This window comes from Homo sapiens, chromosome 9 (genome assembly GCF_000001405.40).
Source record: "Homo sapiens chromosome 9, GRCh38.p14 Primary Assembly".
Classification (NCBI taxonomy): Eukaryota; Metazoa; Chordata; class Mammalia; order Primates; family Hominidae; genus Homo; species Homo sapiens.
The window spans coordinates 11,171,091-11,196,772 of record NC_000009.12 but is presented as its reverse complement, the minus strand read 5'-3'; the positions used below and the strand labels follow the sequence as shown (position 1 = coordinate 11,196,772).

General features: G+C 33.9%; 1 long non-coding RNA gene across 1 annotated transcript; it reads left to right on the top strand.

The window, feature by feature from the left end:
* The first annotated feature begins 230 nt into the window (after nt 1-230).
* On the top strand, nt 231-24,664 carry LOC102724027 (uncharacterized). The gene is made up of 3 exons (XR_001746617.1): nt 231-265; nt 1,326-1,499; nt 24,401-24,664. It is a non-coding gene; the product is annotated as an uncharacterized LOC102724027 (long non-coding RNA).
* The last annotated feature ends 1,018 nt before the right edge of the window (nt 24,665-25,682 follow it).

Here is a 25,682-nt window from a genome sequence, read left to right as displayed (position 1 = left end):
AGTGGGAGCCCAGACAGAGGAGGCGCCGAGAGTGAGCGAGAGCTGTGAGGACTGCTAGCACGCTGTCACCTCTCACTAGCTTCTAGGGGCTGTGGCAATGTTTGGAGTTCCTTGCCTTGTAGACATATCACTCCAATATGTACCTCTGTCTTCACATGGTTTTCCTCTTGCATTTCAGATATCCCTCTTCTTTCTCTTATAAAGACATCAGTCATCGGATTTAGAGTCCACCCTAAATCCAGGATGACCTCATCCCAACATCCAAGTAAGAGTATTTCCACAGGTAGGGGGGATTAGGGTTCAGATATATCTTTTGGAGAGACAGTGTTCAACCCACTAAAATTACTGAACTGTAAATATATGTATCTAAGGAATAATATGTATGTATTATTTAATATAGGTGTACAACAATGTTAATTATATATATTACACATATTTTTCAAGTCTTCTTTTTAAGGTAAAGGTAAAACAAAATATTATATTGATTTTATGTTTTTTTGAAAGAGTTAAAATGTTCCTCTAATCTTAAGGATATTAACTACCTCACATCCATATGTGATACGTGCATGAATTACAAATTCAGCTGGAGTTTTTAAATTAAAATAAATTTAGCATGTGCATTTTTCTGTTAGATATATCTAATTATCAAACTCAGTCACCCATTACACTACATTTTGTTACTATCTAGATATATTTATTTGCTGTTAGCCTTTTAGAAGTGAATATAACTTGAATTTATTTTTATGTGAACTTAGAGGGAAATGTTTTAAGCTGTTTTTTCAAACGTGAGTTCAAATCCATATCAAGCTTTACTATTCAAAATACTATTAACACCATAAAGAATCAAGATGTGTAAGTTGAAATGGGTGTACAACAACATATTTTGGTTTTTGTTTTAATTTTTTTAATCATAATTCTCCAGTGAGCAGAAAATGTCAACACAACAGTTACTATCTACTTGTAGTCTCATTCTCCTTTTTCTTCCCCACCCCCATCTCTCACTCAATATTAGAACCCTTTTGTATCACCCATTTTTAAATTCCCAGTTGGTTCAGTTGCTGAAGGGAGAAATTAGGGGTCTGCAGCACACTCCTTGGCAAGCACTGAGAGTATAGTTTTCTCATTTTAAATTCGCAAATTATAGTCCTTCTGGCCCCAGGAGGCTTGGGCTGCTTTACCTTGCTGTTGTAATGAGAATATACTGACACATTTTCATTATTAGATCAAAGGAGAAGGACATTACAGGAAGTAACTTGCAAATGAAATATCAAAATTGGCTGGAGTATACACTTTCATTCTAATCAAATACCATTCTCTTTTTCCAGAATCAATAGAGGAAACCAAAGAAAGGAGACACGTGGTCTGAAATTAATACAGCTGGTGAAGTCAGACTTAAAGCAGGTTCATTTATTTACAGTTGACTTGAATAACTGAAACATGGATTTTATAATTAGAATGTCTTGGAAAAAGCAACCTAATTTACAGGTGGACACAAAAAGGTAACGTGGGCTTTACTAGTTTTAGTATTGAGTTGTATTATACCCTTGATTTGGTAATTCAAGATGAAATGGGTGAAACAAATTATTTTAAATGATCATTTTCTTCCAAAAAATTGCAGCATCTATTTCAATTACAAATTCATTGAATCTAAGTAATCATCTTTTAAAATATTTCTGTACTTTAGTAAGCCTTATTTAAAGTGAACTAAATTATCATTCATTCCTATTGGCATCTGTTCATTATTGTCACCAGCTATAACAAATGAACAAAAATTTTTGTTAGAGAGAGATGAGATGTGTTTCTTATACTGTACAGTGTTAATAAGAACATGTTAGTTGTCTTAAATATATACGCCAAATTGCCAGTGCCTTTAGGGGACATTCTCTTAAAAACTTCTATATTGTAGCAAATTGTGAAGTCTATAATTTGCATGAGGTAGTATTTTTTTTACCAATGTAAAAAACCTATATGATCTTAAATGTGAATGCTTTGATTTATATAAAAGTCATGTGTGGCATATGTGTAAGATATGCTTACCCATTTACTTTATTGACAGTACATTTTATGGGCACATATAATGAAATATGTATTACATAAGCTACTATATGAGCATAATTATTATGAATTTATAGATGTGGATAATAAAGTTGGTAAAAATGGGCATGCTTATGGTTGTAATTCTTCCATTGCTTAACTCAAATGATGCTAAAATTTTTCTCCTAAGCACTTTTTTCTCTTGAATTTGACCTAGAGTCACCAGCCTTCCCAATTCAAAGTCAGTCAACAGAAAATTATAATCAGTAGTACAGGCACTCTGCCATATGTATGGCCTTGCCAAGATGTTGCTATAGTCACCAGATTTGTGTCAAATGGTAAACAAAATTGAAGGCTGGCAACTATAGCTTATTTCTGTGTATTAGCAGGTTTATTTTCAGAGTTATAGAAGTCCTCATGTAAAAGCTCTCAAGTTATTATAATTTCAGGGACAAATATTAAGGTAAGCAGCAACGTCAATATTATAAAATCAATTTTTCCTATGAAGTTCTTTTTCAGTGGGGAGATGAAACAGTAGTCAGAAACAATGTCTACAACTTGACCTGTGTATTTCCAGGCATTTGAGCAAGGCTTGGAATTGCATCCATAGTAGTTAATCTAGGCTTTGAGATTGAATCAAGACCCTATGCTTCCTGTTTATGCTTCCTGTTTATGCTTCCTGTTCACGCTTCCTGTTTAGCCTTGAAAGGATAGCAGTACAACTGGTATGTGAATTATAAGCAATAAATATAAAATAAATTTAGAGGCACTCTCAAGAAAATATTGAGCAGATATTTGAGAAGCGAAAATAAAGTTCATAGTCTCTGTACATATTGTTGAAGGAAAAAAATAAATCTAAATTTGTGAAAAATGTAGCCACTGGAAGATCCAGTAAGATTTTAGTTTGATTGTCTCTTCTGAAATTCTGCTTCTCATAAAAAATTATTTTAGATTACTATGGCCGCAAAATAATATGGCAGACATTGGTGTGTGAAATACTTTATTAGAGAACATTTATGCTATAGGTAATTACTAAAAGCAGTGAATGATAATAGCTACTTAGCTACACTGGAATAATTTACTTTTAATATAATCTTCATTAAAGTAATATTAAAGAGGCTATTTTCATTGTGAAATAAAGAGATTTCGCCATATGACTTATTTTATTCTTAATTGTAATCACATGGCTCTTGTCAGATGCAACATAAAATGTGCACCCAAGTGTTTGACTATATTCTTAAAACAAAAGTATTAATAACTGAGCAATTCATTTATTTTTCTTCCCATTTGGAGTAGAAATTAGGATTATTTAATAATTATGCATCTGATACCTCTTTATAACACCTAAGAATTAAATTATCCTCTGCTTCATTTGGGACCATTATAAATTTACATTAGTTCCTTAAAGATGCTTCACCAGGATTCACTTAATTTCACGTGGCAGAACCTTGACCAGTTTATTTCAGGAGATTGTAAAACAAAGAGTTCATGTAAACTGCATAAATGTCTCCTGACTCACAGGTAACCTGTCTATCATTGAATACTGTAGATCATGACACATTTATTTGTTTAAAATGTCAGCCTTGCATTTGCTTGGGTGGCTGGCCTGGTACAGTTTGAGAGTCACTTAACTAATGCTGAGCCATTTGTTATTGTTTTATTTTTGTTTTTGTTTGAGCCATCTGGGAATTTAGATTAAATCTAGCTACTATTAGAGAACCTAAGGGAAATTTTTAGATTTATGTGCTTTTTTTCTGAATGAATGGATTTTACAGAAATTTACCTCTCCAAGATTTGGAATTACAAGATAATTTAGTTAGACTTGAGCTTTTAAAAAAGTCCAAAAATAAATCAAAACCCTCTAAAATCCACAAAGTTTCTCTAGATGACTCCTATCCTGTGCTAGCTCTTCAGACTTACCCTGATTATCACCTCATATTTCAAAACATATTTGAAAAAGAAGAACAACTTTGAAAGACTGTCATTATCTGGTTTCATGGCTTACTGTAAAGCAAAGCTATGACAGTCAAGACTATACACAAAACAAGACATTTCATTACTATTATGAGAGGTATTTTGTTACTATAATTTGGTATTAATGTAAAGATAGACAATAGATCAAACAATAAACTGGATTTAATCAAAATGAAAAATTTCTGCTTATCAAAAACACTGATAAAAAATGACAAGTGAAGCCACAGATAGGGAGAAAATATTTTCAGATCGTACATCTTATATTGGATTTATATCCAAAACTTATAGACAACCCTCAAAATCAATAAGAAAATAATCCAATAAATAAGTGGGAAATTGATTTGAACAGACACTTTACCAAAAAGATACAGGAATTTTTAAAAGCATATAAAAAGATTTTCAAAATCATTAGTTATTAGGGAAACAGAAATTAATGCCACAATAAATTAGTACTACTCACATTCGACTGGATAAAATTAAAGAAACGAACCATATGAAGTGTTGGCAAGGATGAGGAATGACTGGAAGTCTCAAACATTTCAAGGAGAAATGTCAAATAAACAATCATTTCAGAAATATGTTTTATAGTTATAAAAATTAGCATACATCTATCATATTATTTAGCAATATTATTTCCAGATATTTATACCTGACCAATGAAAGCACACATACTTACAAACACTTGTTACATGAATGTTCATAGCAATTGCTTCTCACTAAGCAATTCTCTCAGTAACACCCAATATCTGAAAACAACCAATATATCCATTAACAGGTGAATTTATAATTATCTGTTGTATATTTTTGTAATGAAATGAATTGTTGGTATCTACATCAATATGAATGAAATGAGTCTTAAAAGAATTATGCTATATAAAATAAGTCATAAAAAACAGCACGTACTTTCAGATTTCATTTACATAGGTTATTGAAAATACAAAAGGATACATAGTAATAGAAAACAAGTTATCTGAAGTGTGGAAGGAGATATAGAGGGAAGAAGTAAGAAGAGGCATGAGGAAATTTTAGGGGGGATGGACATGTTCATTTTCTTGACTTTGTTACTGATTTCATAGGTTTATTCCTATTATAAATCTTATTAAATTGTACACTTTAAATATGTCCAGTGTATTTGTAGGTTAATTACAAGGAAAGCTGTTAGAAAGTGATTGGATTTTTCTTTGATGAAGAAAGGCAATAGAATTTGTTAGAAGGGAGTCAGATAAACCTGGGGTTAATGTGAGCTCCAGCATTTATTAGCCATACAGTCATGAAAAATTACAGCCTTTGTTTCCTCACCTATTAAATGGGAAAATATTACTGTCTGAAAGTTCTAGCTTAGAATTTACCTGTGATAATGTATGTAAATGCTTTACATAACACCTAGCATATTATTTGGTCCTCAATAGATATTAATGTCCTTTCCCATTGTCTTTACCATCTCTAAAGTTTATGTTGTACCACCAGTACAAAGCACTGGAAAAATGCTAACTTATGAATTGTACAAATCACAATTTTTTCCCTAGAAATGTCATAAACCACAAACTAGACGGCACTATGCATGTACATAACAAGCATCACTTAGGCAAGTTTGAAAAATCATCACTCATTAAAAAACCATACCCTAAAGGAAAAAGAAGTGTCAGAAATAGCTCCCAAATAAGAAACACCTACATGACCAGATGAAAAGACAAGGTCTAAAACAGGTAACAGACCCTGTCATGAACAGGAAGAATTAGGTTATGACTAGAGACAGTAATAGGCCTTCTCTATAACCTGATGGTTGGAAAAATTGAAGCACTCTAAAACTGTGAATATGTGACCAAAAGCACTGAAATGAAAAATGGCTTAGTCAGTGATTTTGGCAAAGTTATGACAGAACTAGATCAACTGAAAATTCAGTCTGGTTCATTATGTAAGGGTAGATCATTAAAATATCAGGGGGAAAAACGATCAAACTTCTTGACATTGAAACTGTGACCTAATTAAACAGATTGTGTAAAAACAAGGCCATCATTTATAAAATATGTACTAATATCTTTAGAACGAACCAGTGTCCTTAGTCAGAAAATTCAAGTTAATAGATTATAAAAGTAGTTTTACTATACAACATTTTAAAACATATAGCAACAATTCTATTCAGATCATGTGAGGAAGAATATCTTAGCCATGTTTGATTAGTTAAAAATAAGTTTCTGCATAATTTTATGTTATAAAGTTTCTCTTCAAAAAGAACAAATTAAACATGGAAAATATAATCATTTTCCCAGACCTATCTAGGTGATCACCATTTATAAGAATCTTATAATAAATCATGTCTTACAATGCTAAGAACTCTTTTATGAAGAATGTAATAACCTCTTAATTGCCTTCTGTGTTAATTTAATTTTCCATTTAACTTCTTACATTCATATAGCATTCTGCAAATTACATACTCCTTTTACCTCCATTACCTTATTTAATAAAAAGGTAAAATGTATAAATATATAAATAACTCTTAAAAGTCAACAACAAAAAAGTCTGGTTTAAAACTGGGCCAAAGACCTTAACAGACACCTCACCAAAGAATATATACAAGAGACTAGATAGCCATATGCAGAAGAATGAAATAGACCGCCACCCTTCATCCTATGCAAAAATCAGCTTAAGCTCCATCAAAGACTTAAATGTAAGACCTCAAACTTTAAAACGACTAAAAGAAAACACAGGGGAAATGCTTCAGAATATTGGGAATTTGGGGAAAAGGTTTTGTTTTAAAACCCTTAAAAGAACAGGTAACAACAGCAAAAATAAACAAATGAGATTGTATCAAATCAGAAATCTGCACAGCAGAGAAAATAATCAATAGAGTGAAAAGGCAACCTACAGAATGAAAAAAAGAATTATTTGCAAACTTCTCATCCAATGGGATTAATATGCAGAATATACAAGGAGCTTAAACATCTCAGCAGCAAAAACACAATGTGATTAAAAAATGGGCAAATGATTTGAACAGATATCCCTCAAAAGATATAGAATTTTCCATCAAATGTATTTTAAAAATATTCAACAACATAAATCATTAGAGAAATGCAAATCAAAACCACAATGAGGTATCATTTTGAGGTAAGACACCTATAGAACTTGCTTCTAGAACCAGATGAAAAAATAGCCAGGACTAGCAAGTGGCTTCAAAAACAACCTCTAGTTGCCCTCCCTGCACTCAGCATAAGACACTTACACCAGCACTATGACAGTTTACAAATTCCATGGCAAAACACGAAAGTTGCTGGCCCTTTCTATAGCAACACCCAGAAGTTACCACCCATTTTCTAGAGATTTCTGAATAACCCCCCAATAATTTGCATGTAATTAAAAGTGATTATAAATTCTCACTTTTAGTCAACAACCAACATGCTACTATAGTCACAGCCCATATGCTACTAGTGTTGCTGCACTGCCTATGGGTGAGTGCTGCTCTGCAACGGGCTGTCACTGATCTGTAACACTGCCACTTCAATAAAGCTCCTTTCTTCCACTGCCAGCTTGTTCTTAAATTATTTCCTGAGCAAAGCCAAGAACGTGCCCTGCATTATAGCGCCCAACGTGGGACAAGAGAAGTCAGTGCTTGGAGAGGCAGCTAGATGGCAAGAAGCAGAGAGGAACTGATGGTGAAAGAGATGGCAGTGAAGAAGTGAGATGGTGAGAGGTGGTGAAGCAGCAGGGCAATTGGTGATCAAACTGCAGAGCTGCAACATTAAGTCTGTAACACTAAAGAGCTGCTAACACCACAGAGCTGTAACAGTAGCCAAAGATTCTTTTCAGAGCCATCATCTTTCTGGACAGGTGGAGGCAGTGAAGCTGAGTGGATGGGCGAGCAACTGCAGAGCTGCTGCCTCATGTGGGACCCACCACTCCAAATGTCAGGTCACAAATCCGAACACCACTTCATCTGTGGCAGCCAAGTCCACCCAAGCCAGGGTAACCTGGGGTGACTTCACCCAGCTCACTCCATGCTGGAGTTCAGTTGGGACCATTTTGGCTCCTGTACATGGATGAGCATCCTCTCTGGCCCCTTTTAATATTGGGTGAACCAGGAAGTAAGACCTCTGGCTAGGTGGTCAATTCAAAGTTCCCTGTCATTTTGGTGTCATGAAAAAAGCTTGCCTGGCCGCCTATGTTCTTGTCACCCTTTCTCTTAGTCCTTTCCTCTGTATTGTCCTATTTTTTTTCTGCCAGTCATTTATTTTCCACACTGAAATGAATGCTTCGTTTATAGTTGTTTTTGTTTTTTGCTTTGGCTTCCTGCTAACTGTACTTGGGCAATTATTTAAGTCAGGACACTTGGTTGTGACAGGTCCCCAATTGTGTTGATTCACGACCACCATAGTCATGTTGTTCTGTGATTCCAATTTGGCCTTTGGAGGTCACAGTTGGCCACCCCCTAGATGCTCAGGGGTTTTTAGCGTTGACATTCCCTCTAGGATTGTGGGTGATAGCCCCACCCATGGGGGAATCTTGGTCTCTTGGTGTCATTTTTTTCTGCCCTGAAGTTGGAAATTATCATTTTCTGTAAGAGCCAGTTGTGGACCCCTCTCTATGTGCTGTCTTCCTTTCTGTCCAATAAACTGCCTTGCTCAAGCCCATCTTGGACTGTTGGATGAAGAGAATGGGGATTCTTGGCCCCCTGACCTGTTGGATAACTACCCACAGTTGCAGACAAGTGGATGCTTGAATACTTTCTTCGATGTCTCTCTTACTGGGTGGATTCTCTGTTGGCTTGGGGCCTGTAAGGTCTCCTTTCAGCAACACTATTTACCCTTACCCTTCCTCCTTTCTACAATGACCTTGTTTTTTTAATCCCTCTTTGTTCAAACTAAAATGTTTACTTCAATCTCTTTGGAATTCAGACCCTAAGCATTCTACTGCCCACCACTCATATCTCATAATCCACATTTGTAAAGCTTTACTACCTCTACCTACACCTTCTCTGCAGTATGTGGGAATTTGAAAGGAAAAGTAACTAAGCTTTCACTAGACTTAGGGCAAACTGAAAAAAAAAATTTCTGTAAGAATCCTTACTGGAAAGTGAACATGACAGTATCCCAGAGGACTGGCCACTAGGATGTCATTTAGGCAACTGGAGCAAATTCAAGTTAGATAATATAGAGGAAAAAAAATCATTTTCTATTGCAACACCATTTAGGTCCAATACAAATTGGGGAACCAAAAGATTTCACCTAAACATGGTTCTTTACCTTATAATGCTATTTAACAACTAGACTTATTCTGTAAAAAAGAGGGAACGAAAATGAGGAGAAGTTTCTTATGTGCAGCTTTTATAGCCTCTACCAGGATCTGAACCTAAGAGAATGCTGTAGAATGTGTCTAGTCCATGTCACTTTCAGGGACCAAAAGACAGCACTAGATATCTTAGATGACCCCCTTTTAGCTGCACCCGCTAGGAGTTTCATGCCCCCCTTTGGAGCCTCTGCATTTCCTGAATTCTGAGGGAAGTCCTGCCAGTTCTCCAGTGCAGGATTTCTTTCCAAGGTCATTAGGCACCCGTCTCCCTTATCCAACTAAGCCTAGTCTATACCTTTGCAGCCTACAGAAATAAGCCTAACCAATACCACCAAGAGTGGGGCCCCACATCAGCTCCCAAAATTAAATCTGTCCCCATTGTGGGAAGCAGACAGAGATGGGGGAACAATCAGAGTATATCTCATTTTTTTAATGTACAATTTAGCTTTATGCGAGAAGAAATTTAGCCAGTTTTCAGAGGATCCAGGGAAGTTTATAGAGGAATTTGTTGACCATGTCCTTTGATTTAACTTGGCATGACTTGCAAATATTATTATCTACTTGCTGTACCATAGAGGAGAAAGAAAAGATTTTAGATATTGTCCATGAATATGCAGTTGGAGTGCTGCTTGTTACCAAGGCCATTTATTGTGTAGGGGGAGGTGCAGTTTCAGATCTGGACCCTCAGTGAAACTACCAGAGAGGTTCCCAGGACCTTGAACTCAGAAACCACATGCCAACTTCTTTAATAGAAGGTATTAAAAAGTGCATGGTTAAGCCAGTTAATTATAGCAAGATTAGAGAAGTAATTCGGGGAGAAGATGAAAATCCCACTCTATTTCAGGGTCACCCGGATGAGGCCCTCGGAAAATATACTAATGCAGACCCTGACTCCCTGTAAGGCCAAGCTCTCCTGGGCATGCATTTTATTATTCAATCTGCTCCTGATATTAGGAGGGAGCTACAAAAAGCAGCAGTGGGACCCCAGACTCACCAGTTAACTGTAGTTTCTTTGACCAGACACCAGGCTGCCTCTGTTAATTCCGTTTGCTCTCCCAATTAACCTAATCCAGTGTGAGTGGAAACAAAACTCTATAGTAAATGTTTCAAAAATTATAGCAGCAGGAAATCATCTTAATGGTTGCTGGATTTGTCATCAATATCCCCAGGATAGAGTTCCCTCTTCCGGCACATCTGGAAAATCTCACAGCCATCTCTATGGATCTCTCAATTAGCCACAGTGATCCCTTAGTATCCAGACCTTTACTTGTTAGGTATTCTCCCCCGTTTTTCATCCATTGTTGTGCTAATGACACAAAAGTAGAAGTTTCCTTACAATGCTCTAATCAAACCCTAGTAGCCAAGTTCCCAAGGCCACAGTGAGGTAAATGAAATCCCACTTGTAAGTGAGGAAACCATACATAGTGATTGATCTGGGAAGGTAGGAGTACTGCCCACTTCTGGAAAACAAGAGCCTTTCAACCACCCCCATTGGAACAAGAAAAAAGTATCTCTATAGACCCAACTTGGCAGCAAATAATAGACATTACACCCCCATAAGGCCTCAATTTGTGTGCCAACTGGGGTTATCTCTGTCATGAATGGGAAGAAGTCCCATCCTGTAACCACTCCCAACTTCCTAGGGAGCCACCTATTCTTTTAGGAGTAGCTTTCCCTTGTATATCAAAAACTTGGAACAGGAGTGAATGCACGTTGACCACCATTGCCACTCAGGGGATCACTGTCTACAACCCCATAAAACCCAGAAATACTAGAAATAAATGAGCAGTAAGATTAGTTCTGGTGACAATCAGCAAGGCAATAGGACTAGTGGCCCCATGTTTATTGTAACACCGTTCACCATACCAAGATGTGGAAACAGCCAAGGTGCTGAACAGCAGATGAATGGAAAAAGAAAATGTGATTATATATATATACACAGACACACACAATGGGATGCTATTCACTATAAAAAAGAATCAAGTCTTGCCATTTCAGCAACCTGGAAAGAACAGGAAGACATGTTAGGTATAATAAGCTAGAAACAAAAAGTTAAACACTGTATATTCTCACTCATATGTGGAAGCTCAAAAATCTCAATATCATTCAAAGTAGAACAGAGGCTATTAGATCCATTGAAGGAAAGAATAGACAGGGAGAGATTTGCTAAATAATACAAAATTACAGCTAGATAGTAAGAATAAGTTCGAGTGTTAGTTAACACTGTAGGATGACTATAGTTAACAGCAATAGATATATTATTTAACATAGCTACTGGGAGGATATTGAATGTTCCAAGCACAAAGAAATGATAAATGTTTGAGATGATAGCTATGCTAATTACCCTATCTGATCACTGTACATTATATGTATAGAAACATCAATGTGTACTCCATGAATATGTACAATTATTTGTCTATTTTAAACATCTCAAAAATACAGGAATCGACATTTTTAAAAAAAGAATATATACAGGTGGCAAATAAGCATATGAAAAGTTGCTTCACCTCACATATCCTTAGGGAACTGTAAATTAAAATAGCAATGAGACATCACTACACACCCATTAGGATGCCCTGAATCCAGAAAACTGAAAAGATCAAATGCTGATGAGAATGGGGAGCAACTGCAACTCTCATTTATTGCTGGTGGAAATGAAAAATGTTACCGACGCTTTGGAAGACAGTTTAGTAGTTTTGTATAAAATAAAAAATATTCGGCGGGGCGTGGTGGCTCACGCCTGTAATCCCAGCACTTTGGGAGGCCGAGGCGGGTGGATCACGAGGTCAGGAGATCCACACCATCCTGGTTAACACGGTGAAATCCCGTCTCTACTTAAAAAAATACAAAAAATTTGCTGGGCGTGGTGGCGGGCGCCTGTAGTCCCAGCTACTGGGGAGGCTGAGGCAGGAGAATGGCGTGAACTCGGGAGGCGGAGCTTGCAGTGAGCCGAGATCCCACCACTGCACTCCAGCCTGGGAGACAGAGCAAGACTCCATCTCAAAAATATAAAAAATAAATAAAAATAAAAATAAAATAAAATAAAACATATTCTTACCATATGATCCAACAATATCACTCATTGGTATTTGCCCAAATGAACTTAAGAATTATGTACGTGAAAAAATCAAAATGCAGATGTGTTCAACAGCTTTATTGATAATTGACAAAACTTGGAAGCAACCAAGATGTCCTTTAGTAGCTGAATGAGTAAGTAAACTGCAATACAACTAGGTATTGGAATATTGTTCCAGGCTAAAAAGAAATGAGCTATAAAGCTATGAAAAAGCATAGAGGAAACTTAATTGCACTTTATTATATGAAAGAAGCCAATCTTAAAAGGCTGAATACCGTATGATTCCAGTTATATGACGTCTGGAAAAGGCAAAACTATGCAGATAGTAAAAAGAGCACGGTTGAGTTTTAGGGCAGTGAAACTACTCTGTATGACACTATAATAGTGGATAGATATTATTATATATTTGTCTAAATCCATAGAATGTACAACACCAAGAGTGAACCTCATTGGAAACTATGGACTTTGGGTGATAATGATGTGTCAATGTAGGTTTATAAATTGTGGCAAATGTACCACTCTGACTGGGGATGTTGACAATGGTGTAGCTTACACATGTCTGGGGGCAGGGGTAACATGAGAAACTCTGTACCTTTTGATCAGTGTTGCTCAAACTTTCTAAAAATGAAGTCTATTTGAAACAAGAATTAATTTTAAAATTTATACTTTTGAGATAGTCAATATAAATAGCTCCCCAAATTAACTTGACTATTAATAAAAATAACCCAAGAGAAATAAGAAAAATAACTATTTTAATGTTTGAAAAACCACATGAAGCAGGCTTCCGTAATACAGACCACAAATCAAAGATGTATATAAAGAGAAAAATATATGTATGTATGTATGCTTACAAGCATTTTCACATATATAACTATGTACTCAGTAGGTGAGGGGGAAAGGTAATAAAAAATGTAAAGGAACAAAGATTAAAAGCTGATTGTCTGAAGGTATATTTCAGTAGCCAGTAGGAATATTGTTTTTTTTCTGAGTATGGAAGACCAGTATCAGTAGGTTGTTATTGATATAAGAAAATGTTCTAGGGTCATATTTTTCTTGGTGGTCTAGCATAATTTCTCTACCTAAAAGGAAGAGGAAATTCCTAGGTACAATATTAACTCTTTAATGCTTAAAAGGAACCTTATTCTCCCTGCATTGGCAAAATGAAAGGTGTGCTTTTCAGAAACTCTGTGAAATAACTCTTGTAGGATTTTACACTGTAGTCAATGGCAGAAGGACATACACTTACTGTAGTCTGGCCAGTATCACATATTTGCATTATGCATTCCTCCCTTGAGGTTAGTTAACACCAACATTCTTAGAACATACTCTGGATAAGGAAATCCAGAGAATATGGCCAAGTTATTTTATTTTTCTTAAGCAAATCTAACTGAATAAAACAGTATTAATCCCATCATTTCACCTCACTAATACCACATACTAAACACGTACATTAAGTGATTCCCAATAGCATAATTTATAATGCCGAGTAGAGTGGAAAAAGGGGCCTTCAAACCCAATAGTCAGTGAAACCAAACCCCATTCCCAGCCCCATAACCAAAGGTGTGAATCAGTAAAACGAAGGGCTTAAGAGTAACTTAAATATTCAACATAAAAAAAGGTGATTCAGAGGCTTCCATATACACTCATATATAGCCATATTAATACTTCACAAAAATTGCAAGTCAGTCCAGAGAGGGGTCCTTTCTATCTGAAAGATACTATATTTTATCCAACTATCCTTTCTGTACCTTCAGAAAAAAAAAATAATGAGAAATGTTTAACTCTTCTGTCATAGTTTGTTTTCCTTTCACAGTGAAAAATATTGTGAGGTAAAGGGGTATATACATTTATTTTACATTTAATTCATTTGAAAATAGCATGTTAATAACTTGCACTGAAATATTTTCAATAACAAGAATTTGTCATGAAGAGCTGAGTCATTCAGGATATAATGAAAGAACCATTACAAGAATATAAAGACTTACATACTTTATATATTCAATAAACAATTCTTGTTTGAAGCTGTTATTAATTCCCCATATCCAATTGTAGCACATATTATATCTGAAAATATCACTTTAATTTACATGTTTACTTATTCACTGTCTTCTTACTTCCATTAGATTTGATGGTACAAGAAAGCAAAAGTCTTTTCTTTGACAATCGCTTTATTCAAAGTGCTTGGTGTAGTGACTAACACATACTGAATGGCTGAAAGAATCCTTATGACTTATGTATGCCTGAATGCAACATGAAGAGTGGATATAGATCTGTTGGCCCTTTAATGTGGTTACATTATTTAGGTTTTAATTGTTTCCTTCTTTATATTTTGTATTTTGGAGGATTATACAGATCAAGGGAAATGAAATTACTATGCGCCTTAGAGAGAAGTGATTGAGTAAATTCTAAATTGGTAAACATTCCCCAAGACTGATTTAATGCAGTTAACTACCCTGTAGGTAGCTTTTAATGGCTTCCATTCTTCGTAATTATTAAATTCATCTTGTTGCTGTTTACATGTTCCTGTCTGGCCACTTTAACTTATGATTTTAGCTCCCTATTTTAGGAGTTTATGTGTGTGTAAATGTGTGCATATATGTGTTTGTGTATGTCCCAGCATTTATAAGTGGAGTATGAACCCAATGTAAAAAACACTTTCAAACTTAACATGAAAATTTTTAATATGCATCAAATTAATTTAAGCTAAGATTTTTCTTCTTAATTAGCTGTTTTATTATGATAGTATGTTATATATTCTTTTGTTTAAATAACTTATAGTGGTTTACTAGAATGTGAGAACTGAACTCTGGTTCTTAAGAAATATAGAAAATTAGGCATTTATATAAACAGCTTTTGTTAAATGTAAAAGAACACATAATTTAAATGGTTTAAATGTGTATGCCCTGCATATAAAGATTATTGTGTTGCTAGTCTGTTTAAATAAGAACATAAGCTCATCTAATGGGAATAATATAAGAGTTTCCATATTTAGTTTATTTTAGTTATCTAAATGCTTTTGGACACATTATGGATATAATAATCTCTAGTATGCTATTTTATGAAGTGAAGCTAATTTTAGTCATCACAGCAGAAAAGCACAGTCTCTACTGCAAATACTTTCTTCATTTAGCAATTTGAGTTGTGACAAGACTTTGCTAATCTGATTTAGAAACTCTTCTCATAAATTTCTAAATTGAGATGGCTTTGAAATTAACTGTGCAGTAGAGAAGGTGAACTATTTTGGAAAGTCATCCTGATCATATGAAGGCATTAGTTTTTACCTTATATATTCAAAACTGCTGTTGCTCTGTTGCTTTTCAGAAGATATTTCCCCAATGGGTAGAAAACAAAAATTCACTGATTCTAATTTTTTAAATTTTGTGTGTGTGTGTGTGTGTGTGTATATATATATATGTGTGTGTGTGTGTGTGTGTGTGTGTGTATGTTATATATATACGCATAAAATTTTAAAAATATATATGTGTAGATTACATGTATCTATGTATATATATAATTAAGAATGCCACATGAGCTTTATATATATAATTTACATTGTTATATATAATTATGTAATTACATTATAATTGTGTAAATTACATGTATATTATATACATGTAAATAATGTATATATGTAGATTATATATACTCATATATATATAAAGCTTATGTAGCCTTCTTAGTTAAAAGCAAAGGTGAGAGAGACGGACCATAAAATGTTGTTTGCTATTACATACGTCAGTGCATTTAAGGGTTATCAAGCCAATAATAATGCAGAAAGTGAGAAAAAAAATGAACAAAGAAAATTTACTCAAAGAGTATGTTTCAGAGTGGAAAGTGTGGAAAATGGTGTCAAGCTCTAGCTAATTCCTGAATAAATAGCATTTTTCTGAATCACAGGTTTTGTGATTGCAAATTCTCCATCATCAGGGATAACCCCATAAATTAGGCATAGGGAAATGTAAGGATAAGACTTGGAAGGAATTCATGAGGGGCCATGTAAAGATCTAGACATCCTACAAGTGATTACGGAAGAGAAAAGCAAGTCAAACTTTGAACTTTGTGATGGTTTACTGAAATAAGAAGCTAGTACACAGATTACAAGGGTACGCAAAGGCTTTTCTACCTTTGGGTAGAAAAGGGGAAATAAGAGTAAATTCTGGGAAGAGCATGTTTGTAAAATAGTTCCCGTATCTCTCAATTTTCTTCCATCAAAATACACAAAACAACTTCAGTGAAAAAACAAATACACATTGATAGAACTTCCATTTCCAGCTAAGACAAAGTAATAGAACCTGGAACAATCCTCAGCTGGAAACATGAACTAAACATAGTAAAACAATAATTTTAAGGATTTTAACAATAGGCAATGGAGGGCAGTGATAACTAAGAGAAGGGAAACAAAGAAAGTGAGTGAAACAGTTGTCCCAACTTACTGCCTAGGGAGTGTCTGGTTGTGGAGAACAAACCTGGGTGTCTAGAGAAACCAAGGTAGCTACAGTTTACTAGGCAGAATGTTGAAAAAAAAAAAAAGAGAAGTTATAGAAAAAGAAAATTCCAGAGATCTACAGAATGTGCATCTTATGATAATTAGATGAGTACCGATTAGCAAATGTACATGAGGAAACTAACTGAGACAGTAAATGAATCTACAAAAAAGGGCAGAGAGATCAATTGCTGGGAGCTCACACAGGCCTGGGGATTTATGCCACCAGCCAGGGTAGAACATCTCTTAACACGTGGAACATTGGTATAAGTCTTCAGACTCTTATACCTTATTTAGTGAAAAAAAAAATTCCCCTAGACTACAAGTTACCCTGGCCACCCAACAAAGCCAAAAAACAAGACTCAAAAGGAAAAAACTGTTTCCAAGTAACTTAACTATGTACCAGAACAAAACTCAAGAATATGAATAGAAATAATTTTTTATTATTTAAACAAATAAGGTGAAATATACGATGAGTAGCTCTAGTCAAAAACTACCAGTAATGCAAAGAAGCAGAAAAATGTGATTTATAATGAAAGTAAGATTTAATCCAGGGAAACATTGTAAAATGACACACCTGATTGAATTAGCAGACAAGGAGATTAAAAGGTTATTATAACTCTGTTATTTCTCCTGTGTCTGGGAAAGTACAGGGAAGACAAAACATGCTAAATAGAAATGGGATAATTTTAGAAAGACTCAAATCAAATTTCTAGAGTTGAAAATACAATTCATGTGATGAAACATTAACAGGATATTAAACATTGGAGAAGAAGAGATAAGTGAACTTGAAGTCACAGCCAAAGAAAGTATTCACAATGAAACACATAGAGAAAAACAAAGAAGAAACTGAAGAAAATGAGAGAACCATCAGTGAGCTGTGTGAAACTTTAAGCAGATTAATAATATATGTAATCGAAGACCCTACAGGAGAAGGGAGAATGTGGGATAGTGCACAATAAGTATGGAGAAATAATAGTTGAATTTTTAAAATAAATTTGACAGTAATTATTAACTGCCAAACCCACAAACTCAATAAACATCAACACAATAAGCATGAAAAAGAATATACCAAGCTACCTTATAATTAAATTACTAAAATGAGTCATAAAGAAAAAAAAATCTTAAAAGCTGCCAGAAAATAAAAAGACATAATGTATAGTGGGGGGGGAAAATAACAACAGCAGGCTTATTTTTAAAGACCATGCAAGGTGTGTCTTGAGAAATCTGTTGAACTAGAATATCATAATTCCTGAAAATATCTTTCAAAAGCAAAGACAAAATAAAAACGTTTTTCACACACACATAGCTAAAAGCCAACATAGAAGATAAAATGGGTTCATAAATAAATATTCAAAAGAGTGAGAAAAAGAGGAAAATCAATCAGACTTTAAAAACTAAGGATTTGTTATAATATAATATCAATAATTATGCTAAATGTAAAAGGTCAAAACACTGCACATAAAAGGTAGAAATTGTGAGCACAATCCACAAGACAATAACGTATATAAATTGGGATTTATCTGAACTAAGATCTTCTGCTCCTTGAGAGTAACTGTAAGAGAATGAAAATATAGGCCACACACTGGGAGAAAATGATCAGAAACCATATATCCAAAAGTAAATTTGTATTCAGATTGTAACAACTCTCAAGGCTCAATAAGAAAACAAGCAAATTAACTTAAAAATGTACCAAATATTTAAACACACTTTACCAAAGAAGATCCATAAATGGCAATAAAACATGAAAAGCATGAAACATGAAAAAGTATAAGAAAAGATGCTTAGCATCATTGTAATTAGGGAGATACAAATTGAAATCACAGAGGTATTATATATTCTGCAATGTCTAAAATTAAAAGGACTAATTTTACTAAGTGTTGCTAAGGATACGGATGAACTGAAACTTGTGTATTGCTAGTGGGACCTCTTCCTGGGTTGCAGTAAATATTTCACTGTTTCTCTTAAGTTCTTCTCAGCAGAAGCTGGTATAGCATAGGTATTGAACCTGCAAATAGTTTATACCCACAGCTCACACTCTGGCTTTGCTTGAATACCTTTTCACTTAGTTTTGCTTTAGAACTTGTCCATGCTATCTTTGGGATGGCAGGGAAAGGGCAGTGAGGCAGTAGTACATTTTGCCACATCACAAACTTACCTTCAGCAAATACAAGTGTCTGTTATTCTGATGTCACATCCATAAAATTGAAACTAATACTATATAATCAAATGTGCAGATTAAATACAAATAATGTATGTAAAATAAGAATAATACGTAGAATTTCTCTGATAGTTTAAGTGTCTTTCCTAAAAGGAAAATTGACCTTGACTTTGCGGTTAAAATCAATAGACCCATTCAGAAAACACTTTACAAAGTTTGTTGCCTGAAATAATAGTTTAAAAGACCAACTGCTATGAGGAGTGATTTATCAAATAAAATTAGGAAACCTGCTTTCTGTATACGGTTCAGAGAATCACTATGCACAGAAATATTTTCAGAGTTGTGGTGTTCCCTAAGTAAGTAAATCTATTCTATTTTGTCAAAGCTAGAATTTACCCTCAATTTTTTGACCTTTAAACTTACTTTTCACATAACATCTTTTAATATTGCTACAAATAGAGAACAATTATTGTTAAATGCACCTTTGAAGTTTAGTTTGAGACAAGAGATATTATAAGAAAAAAAGAAAAAAGGGACAGAAATATGCAGGAAAATTTTCTGAATAATTTATATAGCTTTAATCTAAAATACTCTGTCACTTTGCAAACATATCTTTACAATTTTGGACCTAAGTATCAATTCTAAATTAACACTGACTTGATCAGCTTGAACTAAATCTGTGTTTGCAACTATCTAGTGTTATATGGTTCTGTGCCCTGTATGACTTTGAGCTTAAAGATTTTAAAAGCCATTGTAGAGAAAGTGAATAACAAAAATGCAGTATTTATATTTATCTAAAAATTAGTTTGAGGAAAAAAATAAAGTCACATCAATCTCCCAGGTAATGATGTAAACAAAAATAAACCAATAAAAAGGTTTTATTGAATGTAACAAAAATAACATGATTTAGTAACTGCACTATAAAACCTGAGGCAAAGTCACCTACGGCTTTCCTCTTCCCTATTGAAAAGAATCCTAGAGGTAAGAGTATGATCCTTAGAGTTTATATTCTAATTTTGTCACTTATTAGTTGTTTAACTCTGTTAATCTATTCTAGCCTGAAATTTCTCTTGCACAAGATCCTGATAATATCAGTCTTCCAGGGTCAATACAGTGTCTGACACAGCATAGGCTTTAAAAAATGACAGTTGCTTTCTTTCCTTGAGATGTTTAGAATTTCAGCATTATACTGGTTACAAATTTTCAATCAAGTCATGAAATATCAAATTATATCAATATATGTTGAAGGCCAATATATAAAAACCATAACATTTCTCTGATGACCTTTAGCTAAGCAAAATAAATTGTAAAGGAAAATTTTTTAACGTCTATAAAATTTAAAACAGTAATGTTTAGACAGCTGACAAAAAAGATAGCTGTTTCAAAAAATATAATTTGTTTTAAAATGTAAGAAGATAGAGATGCTTCCAAAATGTAATGGGATTACTAGAGGTATCTATGTATTCAATGTATTTTTATTGTATATTTATTATTCTATGTATTTTTGTTGTTTAAAAAGCAATGGAAAAATTTAAATTCAATAACTGAATTTTTTAAAAATAAAAAATCTTGAGTAGACTAAACTTACATGTAGAGGCAGAATTACCATCTGCTGTAGAAAAATAATTAATTTATAGGTTGAGATACACAAGAGATAAGTTCTTATGAAATGATATATTCTTAGTTTGAAAACCCTAGCACAGTATAGTTCATCTTCCTAAATAACTATTTACCCAATGACTATAGTGAATTCTTCCTTTTGCCTCAAAACTAGGTAGAATTTTTGAAACTGCTTTCCAATCACTTGAAATGAAGGTAAATTTTTTGTTATATTTTCATATTTAGAACCAGGCACTCTATAACTACCCAGAGATAGCAGGTTATTTATGAAAATTATTATCATTAAGCTAACGTAGACATAACAGTTTAGAGATGGGCTCTTAAATCAGACCTCCAAATACCACCCCACAGGTCACTAGTCACTTTGCCTTATTTTCAGTATTTTAATGTTCTTTTTTTACTTCAGTTTGGAGAATGTATATTGCCTTTTCTTTAAGTTCATTGACTTCCTCTTCTATAGTGTTTAAATTATTAATAATTAATTACTGTTAATCCCATCCCTGCATTTATCATTTTAGATTTTGTATTTTCCAGATTTTGCATTTATACTAGGTTCATTCTCATGTTTTCCATCTGTCTATTGGGATCCTAATTGTTTTCCCATTATGTTTTTTATATTTTTCCTTTAGATAATTGAACACATTTTTAGTGTTTCATAGCTGCTTTGAATTCCTTATCCTCTAAATCTAATGTCCTTGTCATCTCTGCCTCTGCTTCTATTGATTGCTTATTACTTTGGTTATCAGTCACCTTTTCCTGCTGATCCCCATGTTTGGTAACATTTTTTTTGTATACTAGGCACTGTGAATATTATTTTTAATGTTTTGATGTGTTTTTGTTGATTTTTTCCAGTGTTCATTTTTTCTTGATGGCAGTCAGTTTCCTGAAGGATCAGCTTTATCCTGTCAGGGCTTGTTTTTAGGTTGGATTATGGTAGTTCTAGAGTAGTCCCATTCCTAAAGTGTAGCTTTTTTTCTTGGAGGGGAGGATGCAGGGAGGTCTTGATTAAATGCCTGATATATTCTTTGTCAAAGTCTGTTGACTTTAGCTACTCTTTCATTTCTCCCTATACCATGTGAACGCTAGACTCCATTGTCAGCTCACAAACCTCTCTCCTTCTCCAGCACCTGATTTCGTCCAGGTCTCATGGCTCTGAGCACACATACAAATGTGGTTGAAGACTAAAGAGGATCCCTATATAGATTTTTAGAGTGTTTTCTTTATTCAGTTCTCTCCTGTCTGTTACCTTAAAAACATTACAAGGCTGCTACCTCAGGAGCCCGAAACTGTCATTTCATTCTCCTCTGCCCAGTGAAATTACAGTTGTTTATAAAGTGTCCTAAGGCAAAAACAAACAAAAGAGAGAGAGACTATGGATCTCTTCCGCTGTTTTTCCCATCTCTCAAGAATCACAGCCTTGTGTTAGCTATAGTCTAATACCTGAAAATTAGTTCTTCACATAGTTTATGCAATTTTTAATTGTTTATGGATATGCAGTTAAGTCAAATACTCATTTTGGCTCATATCAAAGTCCATTAAAGCTCCTGAAACACTGCCAATTTGATTTTATTTTTGTACAAGACAAAAATGAGAAAGAATTTCTCAATGCTGAAATAAAACCATGTGTCCCAAAAAGGGCTTTAACTGATGCTCCATCATTAAGAAGCTGAAGAGAACACAGTGTCCTACACTGAAACTTGCTCCCTAGGCAAAGGTAATAAATGCTTTCTCCATGTGTTTTCTTTAGTTAGATCCACTTGAGCAAAGGTATCAGTGACCTGGGCAATAGAATCTACAGAAAGACATATAGATTATAGAGAGCTGTGTATTTAATCTAAAATTTCTAAGGAGTAAACAATACAATTCTGGATTTATTTTAACCTTATAATGTTAGTACCCATTAATATTTTTTATGATTGACTTACTTTATTACATATATGCATCTGTCTTCTGAGCCATCCCTAAATTCGTGGCAAGCATTTGCATTATTTATTCATCTATATATCTCTAATACCTAACCTTTGGCTGGGTATACCAAATGCTTTTTAAGTGAAATAATGATTAAATTTAAATTTACTTTGTTTCAAAAGAGGTGGGGGTTTTTTGGTATTTGATGTAAGTGTATACATTGAATGCTAATAATGTGCTTGTCACGTTTCTAAATTCTTAATTTAATTTATATTTAAAACTTATAATAATATTATTAGAAGGGCACAGAAACATAGAACAGTAAATGACTTGCCCAAGATCATATGACTAGTGAACAGTGAAAATGAGATTCAAACTTGGGCACCAGGCTTTTAAAAAGTATTGACACGCTACTTCTCAAGCAAGAAAACTGGCTATATTCATCACATAATTCCCATGATAAAAGTCACAAAAATATTACTTCTTATGTGTTGGATGCTAAAATCCTAAGGAGATTTTAATGGGGGTAAAAAAAAGAACATTAAAATCTGTTATTCATTAGCTTGGCAAACAACCTAACAGAAGCAGAGGCTGATGTGCATTCAGAGACTGCATTATGATTTAAATCTGCTTACTAAAGTAGAAAATATTTCTCTAGGTAAAAGAGTTAGTTTTGCAAAACCCAACAATTTGAGATGAGTTGAAAGAGGTGGCAGGTATAAGGCAGAGGACAATATATAACTTTAGAGTTTATACTGCCTTATCATGTACTAAGCAGGTCCATAAGAAGTTTTGAAGTTTTCAATACATGATTGATAAATGAATGGGTGCATTTTTCTTCACAATTAGTTTATTTTTACTCAAAACATTTGAATCGTTCCATATTTCTGTTGCAATATCTACTTAGAATGTCTTTCAATGACATCAATAAGTGTCCTACCTGACATTGGACCCAGGGTGGAAACCCAGAAGCCTATGGTATATAGTTTCAAAAATTCAATTGAAGAATTTTACAAACAAACTTCCATCATACTTGTCAGATTTATAGAACCTAATCTAGTAAGGGAGAATATTGTAGCTAAATGGCTTAGAGGGAAAGTGTCTTTTTTTAATTGGCACTGGACAATTTATCAGTCTCTAATGTCATGGGCACTCCGTTAGGCTGTGAGAAAGTAACTGGTGGCATAACATTCAATTGAAAATCTCTGTGGGTGATAGTTCATGCCATCATTACATCAATTTAATGAATGAGGTCCAATAGCGTCCTCCTCTTCCTAGAAGGAGCACATCCATCATGGAACAAAAGATTCTCTAATGCCAATACTCATTGTCATGTTTTTCTCTTAGCCTGTATGAGAACAAAAAGTTTTCAGAGTCTAAATAGAAGAATACCAGACATCCTTATCCCATGGAAAATAATTGCCTGAATTGCTAACGACATTTCAGTTCATTACTTTTGCCATATCGAGAAGATAATCTGCGAGGATATAATCTTACTTAGGCTAACTGAAGACTGTTTTATGTCTTGTTCCTGAAATAGATGGGCAATCTCCTGATAGGTGTGAAAAACTACATATATATAAAGTCTTCACAAGTGTCATTGCTATGCCTCTCAACATAGCATCTGAATTTGGCCAAAAAAATCTTAAAATATATTACCCAACCACAATCAGCAAATATATTTCCTACTACTTTTAGAAACTTCTGAATTTAGTTCTCCAGCTTCTAAGGGGGAAAAAACCAAAAGAATGGGGGTAGAGCTTCCTTTCTTTCTTTTTAATTATGTTTTTTTCTCTCCTTTTTTTACTTTCTCATTCCTCTCTTCCTTCACTGATATTTTTATTCTTCATCTACTTCACAGTACATAAGAAAACCTCTCAGATATTATAGGCTTTGATTGCAGTGTGAATGGCTGACTTGAAACTGACATCAACTACTTCTTGGGGAAGACAGCTCAACACAAAAAGGATGTTTGTAAGTATGCCTTATTTTAGAGAAGAAAGAAATAAATGACTCTTATTCCTGACAGGGTGTAATATATGTGTTATTATTATCTTGATCTGCTCCAGATGAATTATTTCAACTACTTCACTCCATATCACATATTTTACATTAACAATTTGAACTCACCACACTATCTGTCTTTATCAATATCTGTCTATACAGATGTAGAGTTGACATGGAAATATTCACAATCAACTTAATCTCTATCATACCTATTATTAGAGTAAATATTTCATTGTTCGTTACTTTTTCTTTTGTTTTCACCTTCAAATATTTTATCATTGTTATTGTCATCTTGGTTCAAATTTTAGTAATTTAAATTTAATGTGGCAGTGACCTAAGCATTAAAAATGTTGATTCACATTCAAAATTTTTGCATTCTATATGATTTTCATTGTTAGATAGTAACTATTTAATACTAGAAAAAAGATTTGAAAGTATGTTTTTAATCTAACAGAAATGGTTCTACCTAGGAAGACTCAAGGTTATTTTGTTTTTGTATTACATTTTATTATTTTTTTACTTTTACTGCCAGTAAGCTCTTCTGTCAAGAATCAGAATTTAATGAAAAATAAACACCACCAGTGGAGTCTTGCCCGAAAAGTTGATGTAACAACTTCTTAGAATTGATGTGAGCTACTGTTATTGAAGCCAAGATGATTTCTTTTTCCTTTTTCTCTTTTTTTCCCTCTTTCAGCATCCACAAAGAATATACATAGTCAAATATTAAAAGTAGAAATGTAAGGTTCTGATAAAGTAAGTTAAAAGGGAAAGTTATAGGTTTTGGATGAACTCTGTTTATAATAAACTCAGCATTGATTTTCAATTAATATTGCTTCTAAATGTTATATTTGGTAAATAACACTATTTTATGACTTTAGTTGAAAGTATCTTGCATTCCTGTGTAATACCTTCAGACATTTAGAATTACAAAAGATATATTTTCAGCTTTTTTAGTACTTAAAGTCTAAAATACATCATCCTGAATGCACATTCAAACATATCGTATTTGTCTTACACAGTTTCAAATATTTTTAATAATGTTCCCTGCCTGAAGGATTGATTAAGCTTCACATTTTTTTCTACATTATACATTAGCACTTGTCACATTTAGGGAGGAAAAAAATTAAATAGACTAA